General features: G+C 49.0%; 2 annotated features.

The window, feature by feature from the left end:
• Positions 475–687: a silencer, noted in NCBI's record as "fragment chr9:98922000-98922212 (GRCh37/hg19 assembly coordinates)". NCBI's record gives its function as "represses an EF-1alpha promoter that drives an FKBP-Casp9 reporter gene in an ReSE screen in HepG2 liver carcinoma cells {active_cell/tissue: HepG2}" and the evidence as "EXISTENCE:reporter gene assay evidence [ECO:0000049][PMID:32094911]".
• Positions 7,663–7,832: an enhancer, noted in NCBI's record as "experimental_110786 CRE fragment used in MPRA reporter constructs". NCBI's record gives its function as "activates a minimal promoter by MPRAs in K562 erythroleukemia cells, with activity observed for both the introgressed and non-introgressed 9:98929273 variant alleles {active_cell/tissue: K562}" and the evidence as "EXISTENCE:reporter gene assay evidence [ECO:0000049][PMID:34662402]".

An 8,997-nucleotide genomic window follows, 5' to 3' on the forward strand; every position in this document is an offset into this window, starting at 1 on the left:
TAATAAATGTGGCTTTTCAGACAAGACCCACTCTGGGGAGGCAAGCACAGATATTAGGACACGTGCCATGGGAACTCTGTGGGCCCACTGTGTATTACAGATTGAAGGTTTAAGCCACGTTGAACTCTAGCTCATCACCACGAGGTTATATGAGGTTGGGGTCACCCTAACGTCACTAGGAACAGAGAGGGAACAGCTCTTTTCTTCCCTTGGGAACGAAACCTGACTTTCACAGCATGTTCAAGGCTTTAAATGCTAAATATGTTGATTTGCTTTTGCAAAAATATGATCATTCCAGCAATAATCTCTTGATACATCATCAAGCCTCTCCTTAACCTTGTCCTCGTTCTTTTGTTCACATTAGCAGGTGAAGTGCTTCTCGCCAATAAGTCAACCAGCGGGCTCCAAAATAAAAGTTTCCCATGTGTTTTTGGTAGAGAACTCTCCCAGGAAAACACAGTAGGGCTCATGGCAGTGTGGTGCAGACTCCTGCCGAGGGACGGGCAAGCACTCCTGGATGTGGGTTCCTCATCACCAGCCACTGGATGGCTTCTGTCTGTGGAGCTCAGGGCTCCCAGAAGGCACAGGAGCTTGCTGAGACAGTCCAGACAATGGGAAAGCAGGATACAGCAGGAAGAGGGGGCAAGCAGGCAGTCTTCTCAGGTGGGAATGGCCACCCTCCAGGGCCTCTGGCCACTAGGGAGACCTTACTAAAGAGAGGCAGGGAGGGAGAGAGGGAGGAAGGGAGGGAGGGGGAGAAAAAATGAAAGGCAAAAGAGAGCAAGAAAGAGGGGGAAATAAAGCAAGGAAGAAAAGAAAGAAGGGAGAGAGGGGGAAAGGAAGGAAGCAAGGAAGGAAGGAGAGAGAGAGGGAGGGAGGGAGGAAAAGAAAGGAAGGAAGAAAGGAAGGAAAGAAAGAAAAAGAAAGGAGGGCGGGAGGGAGGGAGGGGGAGAGAAGGAGGAAGGGAGGGGGAGGGAAGGGAGAGAAGAAGGAAGGAAGGGGAAGGAAGGAAGGAAGGAGGGGAGGGGAGGGAGGGAGGGAAAATAATCGAAAAGAAAAGAAGAGGAAAAAAAGAAAAAGAGAAAAGGCTGGTTTAGCCAAGCATAGAATCAGCTTGAACAACTGGCCAGGGAACAGGCCTCAGGCACACAGAAAGGGGCAGAAAGGTCCAGGTGTGGTGGGGGAAGACAGGCTCATGTCTAGCAGACATCTAGGAGGGGCCAACCAGACAGCTGGGAGGTCAGTGCAGGACAACGTGAAGCCACGACCTCCTTCTCGAGAGCTAACTGTGTGCCAGGCCCCGTTCTAGGTGCCTGGGATAGGGCAGTGAGCCAAGCACATGTGGCCCCTCCCTCACTGGGCTCACATCCTAGTGTGGGGATCCACACAGTAACAGAGAAAGGAAGGAAAAGATTTCATTTCAGGTGGTGGTGGATGCTGTGCAGACGCTGGGGGGCTGGAGTGGGCTGCTGCTTAGTGGGGTGGTTGGTGGGTGGTTAGGGGCAGCCTCTCTGATGGGGTGGAAGGGACTACCCAGTACAGGGAGCAGTGACCAGAAACAAAATCACTGGAACCACTGGAAGATACTCCTTCCCCAGCCACAGAGCCAGGGCTCAGGAGCAGGAGGATTCAAGGGGTTGCCGTGTGGCTCTTCAGGGGTGAAGAGACCACAGCAAGCTCAGGGCTGGGCAGCCTGGAGCAGGCAGTCTTTGGCAATCAATCAATAGGGCCTAGAACGCTTGACCTTCCCTGGTCTCTGTGCGCTGGTCCTCAGCAGCTTGGGAAAATACCCCCTGAAAAGACAGGGCGCATCCCCGCCAGCTTGGCTTGGTGTAACAAGTGCCACACACTGGTTGGCTCATAGACAACAGACACTTGTTTTTCACAGTCTGGGCCAGAAGTCAGTGCTAGGGTGGCCAGGTTCTGCTGAGGGCTGTCTTCTGGGTTGCACATGGCTGTCTTCTTATATCCTCACATGGCAGAATGAGGGCAGAGAGCTCCCTAGCCTCTTCTTCTAGGGTCACTAATCCCATGGATGAGGGCCCCACCCTCACGACCTAATCACCTCCCAAAGGCCCCAGCTTTTCATACCATCACACTGGGATTAGGGTTTCAACAGATGAATTTTGGGAGGATACAAACACTCAGTCCATTGCAGGGAACTCAATTCTGTCTCCTCCCCCATTCGGCCAGCTCTAATTTCAAGCAGCTCTATTGGAAGCATTCATTTTCTGTAAAGGAACACACATCTACCTTCCTAAACCCCTACCTTTGTTTCTCACTTTGTTCCCTGAAGCTTCAAGGATAAGTGAAACCGCCTTCCCTGTGAATGCCCTTCAAATATTTATGTGTGGCTACTATTCCTCTCTATGAGCAGACGGAGGCAAAGGCAAGACACGCTGGATTTCAGCACCATTCCCTCCTACCCCCAAGACCAGCATGAGAGTTCTGAAGCTCTCTCACCCTCCTTTATGCGCTTGCTAGGAAAAGTAAGCAAGATAATTTGTAGAAAGTGCATGGCCCAGTGACTGGCACATGGAGGAGCATGAGAGGGCAGCTTCTTTCTCCCTGGGTCCTCTCTTCTCAAAGCTAAGCGTCACTAGTTCCTTCAATGGTTCTTTTTGTGATGTGACTTCAAGAGCTATGATGCTCAATTGTCTTCCGATGCTCTGTTGTGATTCAGACATGCTTAGCTCAAGGCAACCCTGGAGGAGGAAGAAGGAAGCCAGGAGCAGGTGCACCCCCATTCTCCAGTGGGGCAGCTTCTGATAGCATCAGGGCCGGAGCATCAGCCGGACTGGCTGAGTCTCGTGGAGGGAGCCAGCAACATGCGACTCACTCACTCTCTCTCTCTCTCTCTCTCTCTGTCCCTCTCTCTCTCTCTCTCTTTCTCACACACACAAACACACCCCGTGACATTTGCCCTTTTCTAGCTTTCTGTCTGTTTTCTATGACCCCATGATTACAAGCAATAATTAAATCAACTTCATCTGCAGGTCCAGCCAAGATGCCTGCTGTGGCTTCTGTCATGGTGGCCTCGCCTGCTCAGGGTTTTCTCACGTCTTCTGTTCCACTCCTCCGACCTAAGGCCCATCCTGTGTGGAGAAGCGAACACGGCACGGGAGACGAGGCACTCTACTTTCTCTATCTCACATTATCCTTACACAACCTGCTCCCCGAAAGATGATTTCTTCCTTTCTCGTCTTGCTGTTCCTAATGGAGTTTTAAAAGTACGCTTTATTCATGGTTCTTGAGTTAAAGCATACATTGTTGACTCCAAGTTCCCAGCTACACAGAACTGGGCAGCACTGTTTTTAAGACAAGAGTTAGAAGTCCAGCGAAACACTTAAGTAGGAAGTCAGAGAAGATACATGCCCCCACACCCCCACACCGCCCATAAAAATGTAGTCTTTATTGCACACCAACGGAGACCAGCAACACGGAGCAGAGTCTTTATGGATTTCCTGGGAACTTGAAATGCTCTCCCTGCTCATCACTTCTGTGAATCCCTGTCCATTCCCTATAGTTACCAACAGTAACAAGCTTAAAACAAAGCAAAGATGGCAAAGGGCTCATGGCATGTGTTTTGGAGGGTGGGAGAGACATTTCTTATCTCTTTGCTCTTCTGTGCAGTCAGGAGACTCTTGGGAAAAGCAGATGAAGACAGGCCAGAAAGAAAGCCGGGCGCAATGGCTCACGCCTGTAATTCCAACACTTTGGAAGGCCGAGGCGGGTGAATCACAAGGTCAGGAGTTCAAGACCAGCCTGACCAACATGGTGAAACCCTGTCTCTACTAAAAATACAAAAATTAGCTGGACTTGGTGGCATACAACTGTAATCTCAGCTACTCGGGAGGCTGAGGCAGGAGAATCCCTTGAACCCAGGAGGCAGAGGTTGCAGTGAGCCAACATCATGCCATTGCACTCCAGCCTGGACGACAGGGCAAGACTCCGTCTCAAAAAAAAAAAAAAAGGCAACTCCCTATGGCCTCTGGGAGAAAAACAGAGCAAGGAAATGTGGGTGCAGCTTGAGAAGGACTGTCCCTAGGGAGCTCACCCGCAGGAAAGTCACTCTCCTTTTGACGTTACATCATCAAAACTTCCCAGTAGATTTTGTTGTGTGCTAAGCGTATTTTGGATTATGCAGAGCTATGCTACAGTAGTTTTTCCATCACGGTTCAGTCTTGCAAGAAAGCTAACAGTTCACCAACGTAACATCAGTTATGCTTTCACTTCCCATAGCCAGAATTAATTCCCAATGGGGATTTTTCAATGAAAGCTGGATTTCTAACTGCCACTCTCAACCAGTTTTCACCTTTCATTCCCCACCTGTCAACATTGGCTTAATAATCTACTGCACGTCTCCCACTCATCAGATAATAATAATAACAGCAATAACAATAATATTAGCCAACATTGACTGAGGAGTTCATATGTGCTAGGTGCTATTTTATGAGCACCACACAACTGAGCTTGTTATGCCTCTCCATATCCCCGTGAGGAAGGGACTACGTCTCAGCATTCTACGGATGAGGAAACTGAGGCTTAAAGTCACACAGCTAGTTAGCAGGGGAGCCGGCACGCGCTTGCAGGCGGTGACTCCAGAGCTCCTGACCCTAGAAACCCACACAGCTGCACACGGAGCCTCCTCCACTGAGCACAGGCTTCAGGCTTGGCTCGCTGCTTTCGCAAGTGCCGCCATCCCCTGCCACCCTGCCCCATCACAGCCCGGTGGCTTGCAAAACATTTAACTCCGCACCCCATGCCCTTTCTTCAAGTGAGGAAGCCCCAAGCCTGCATTAAACAGATCAAATGGAGATTCTCTGGATGAATTAGGAAGAGGAGCGGGGGCTCCTGCCCCCTCCCCACCCCAGCCCCTCCCTGGTGTCCCAGAGGGTTCTGCGGGACCTTAGGGCTTCTGTGGAACGCAGCTGGAAAACCCCTGGACCAGACTAGCTTTGGTCTCCCTCCACCAGGAAAACTGCCAGCTCCAGAGCTGCCCTCCAATGCGCTTCCAAAACTCCACAGCTTCCTCTTGGTTCTAGGACAAATGTGAAACTCTGTACGGGGAATTCCAGGTTTCCCAAACCCCGTCTTCCCAGCCTTTCCCTCTGTACCCTCATTCCATCCAGGTGGCCTGGCCTCCGTGCGGCCTGAAAGCAGGCAGCGTTCTTTGAACCATTTGGAACGGCCTCTACTTTCCCCTACCAGCCGAAGAAACAGAGCCGAGAGCCGCCTCTCCCCAAGGCCTCCCCGAAGGCTCTGGTGCTGCTTGTCTCAGCATCCTGTTTAGCACTCACTCCTGCCCTGCTGTGTCATTAGCATACAGGCTTCACTGCCAAAACACGGACCAAAGCAGCAATGACTTCAACAAGAAGAAAGTTTATTTCTCTTGCAAGAAATGTCTGAGCATGTGCAGCCCCAGAAGCAGCCCCATGGTGTGGGGACCCAGGCTCCCTCCAAGTTGTGGCTACACTGTACTTGCTATTGGTCTGGCCTTCACAGTGGTCTATGGCTTAGCTCCCCACCCTCTGGCATCTGAGTGCCACCAGCTACAAGGGAAAAAGTGAAGTGGAGGGCAGAACCTTTTCTTCTCAAGAACGTCATCCTCCACTCCTAATTAGATCCCAGGGGCAAGACGGAATATTTCAAAAGAAAAGGAGAGAGGGACATTTTCTCTCATCTGTCATAAACTCCTGGAAGAAAAGGACCTTCTTCTACACACCATACCAGCCTCCATGCCTATTTAACCTCAGGATCTTTCTACACCTTGAATGTCATCAATAAATATTAAAGAACGAATAATAGGTATACAAATTAATAAATAAGAAAACAGATACATGGTCATTTTCAGAAATAAGAAAATGTTGGATTGCTTTATATCCGTGCTGAATTTAACGTTTTCAACTGCTGGGTACTAAATGTAAAAAGGTTTTTACATACTTACTTTTAGAAGAGTTAGCCCAAGAGAGAGAATATCTGAATGAGTGAGATGCTTACACACACACACACACACACGCGCGCACACACACACAGCTCCAACGTATTCCAACAAAGAATCTGGGAAACTGTTTCATTTCTCCTCGTGCTTTTTTTCTAAGACAGCCAATACAAAATTAATAAAAGTTTTGAAAAGCTAATATTGAAAACATAAAAGCATAATACTAAAACTACCTTTTCAGCTACTAATCTGTGACAGTAACATCTTAGTTCATTCACCAAGCACTTTTCCAAATGGTGGGAACACTGGCAATATTTTCACCCAGGAGATGTTACTAAATAAGTATGAGGTTTGCCCAAGAGAAATTATTTTTAAATATTTATTTAAAAACTATCTATGTCCTTTTCTTTTATGCAATATATGCATTTATGCATTGATTAATTCATTTCTACATGTATTAGTTGTCACAAATACCACCAAAAGTTTTAAGAAGCTTTAAGGTAGCTACAGGTAAAGAAGAGTAACTACAATTACCCTATTTGCCAGTTGTTTTTTTTTTTTTTTTTTTGAGACAGAGTCTCACTCTGTCAGTCAGGCTGGAGTGCAGTGGCACAATCTCACCTCATTGCCACCTCTGCCTCTGGGGATCAAGTGATTCTCCTGCCTCAGCCTCCTAGGTAGCTGGGATTACAGGCATGCACCACCACACTGGCTAATGTTTTACACTTTTAGTAGAGACAGGGTTTCACCATGTTGGCCAGGCTGGTCTTGAACTCCTGACCTCAAGTGACCCGCCCACCTCAGCCTCCCAAAATGCTGGGATTACAGGCGTGAGCCACCGCGCCTGGCCCAGTTGCAAATTATTTTATCAGTTCAGACTTTCTTAGCCTTGAATGAAGCCTAGGAAATAATAACAATAATAATAAAAGCAGCTTCCCTATTGCGCCTACTCTGGACCAGACATTGTACTAACTGCCCCACGAAGATTCTTTCAATCCTTTAATAATTCTATAGATACAGAAACCAAGGTGCAGAGACATGGGGTAATCAAAGTCTTTCAGAACTGCGTTCAGATCGGGCCTATTTATTTCCAAAGACCTTTGCTTTTTGAAATACAGAGAAGTCAGGTTAATAACTGGTACTCTTCTGTTACCTGTAGGCTTGGGATCGAGCCCTATGCAGCCATTCACAAGGTGCCTGTGCACAAACAGGTGCCATTTGTATTTCTCGTATGCACATCTTACAGCACAACTAAAGGGATTACAGAGAGAGTGTGCACGGGTGCCCCATGGATCAGGGTGCACAGAAAGACCCTCTTGTCAAATGGGAGTCTCAGGAGACTCTGAGCACCCAGGGAGGGCACAGGCTTACCTCCCAAGCCCCTGGAAAGGGTGGGACAAGGCAGGATAAAGATACTGCTAAGGACTCAAAGTTTGTGTCCCCTCAAAATTCGTATGTCAGATCCTAACCTGCAAGGTGATGTTATTTGGAGGTGGAGCAATTTGGAGGTGATTAGGTCATGAGGATGGGACCCTCACAAATGGGGTTAGTGCCTTTATAAAAGAGGCCCTGGAGAGTTCCCTCACCCCTTCAGCCATGTGAGGACACATGGCTATGAACCAGATAATGGGCCCTCACCAGACACCAGATTTGCCAGCACCTCCGTCTTGAACTTCCTAGCCTCCAGAACGATGAGAAATACATTTCTGTTGTTTCTAAGCCACCCAGTCTGGTGTTCTGTTACGGCAGCCAGAACAGACCCCGCTCAGACACAGAAGGAGGAGCCTGCCTCAGAGGGGGCCCTCTCTGTCCTCCCACTTCTGCCAAGGTGGTCTCCCCTCACCTGTACCACCCCTTTCCATGAGGCATCCCCGCATCGGGACACTGTTCTTGCCGCTGGAGTCTGGGCCGGCGGCACAGCCTGAGTAAAGGCCAATGCCCTCTCTCCCTGGCCGGCCATTGTGCACCCTGCGTCCCACAGCGAGAAATGCAGAGCTCTCCTGTCATTTGAACCTAATGCTCGGGCCAAGGCAGGCCTGCTCCTCGAGGTCCGCCTACCTCAGCTTAGATCCAGCCATGCGCGCAGGAAGCGGCAGCAGGCCAGCTCATGGACGTTCTTCCAGGTCCCTCAAGTAAAAAGTGGGGATTTTCAGTTCCCCTCCCTTTAGAAAACAATTTCCTTTCAGAGGACCTGGCTGGGAGACACTGGCTTAAAATCACTCTTGCATGAAAATGTTGTAGGATTTAACTCTCCCCCGATGCTAAATTCGCAGAGCGATACACATGACTTGGCCAGCTCATCCCAAGTAGATGCAGAGGGCTTGTGTCTGCAGAGCTTTCCTTAGGGGAATGGACTCTTGCACAGACCCCCTGCCCAATGCTGGGTCTCCCACGTGAACCCTGCCTTCAAGTCTTCCTCAAGAAACTTCTCTCTCTCTTTGTTCTAGCCCAAGGCTGCTCAAAAGGGCACGATAGACATTTTAGGGCAGGTAATTCTTTGTTGTGGGGCTGCCCTATGTGTTGGAGGATGTCTAGCAACATCCCTGGAATCTGTCCACCAGATGCCCCCCGGTTGTGACAACCCAAAATGTCTCCAGATGCGTCACATGTCTGCTGGGGGCAAAGTCTCCCCCAGCAAGAACCACTCGTGCACCTGAAGTGCACTTGGCTAAGAACTGAGAAAGCCAAGACGGTAGGAAATCCTCCTCATCCTTCAGAGGCTGTACATCCAGCTAGAAGAATCCGAAGTCAACATGATAATCACAAAGGCAAACATTCCACCAATGACAAGTCAAGAGCGCAAGAGATGTGTTGAGATGGTGTGTAACTAACAGAAACTTTAACACTTTGCTAATACTTGTAACATTTTATTTTATTGAAATTATTTAACTATCTGTCTTCCTTAATTTAAAATGGAAGCACCATAAGCGTAAACACTGAATCTTTTTGTTGACTCTGGGAGCCCCAGTGCCCAGCACAGTGTCTGACACAGGAGGCGGTCAGCGTATCTCAGACGTCAGCCTGGTACTGGTTCAGACCCAGCACGAGAAGGACAG

This window comes from Homo sapiens, chromosome 9 (genome assembly GCF_000001405.40).
Source record: "Homo sapiens chromosome 9, GRCh38.p14 Primary Assembly".
In the NCBI taxonomy this organism is placed as follows: Eukaryota; Metazoa; Chordata; class Mammalia; order Primates; family Hominidae; genus Homo; species Homo sapiens.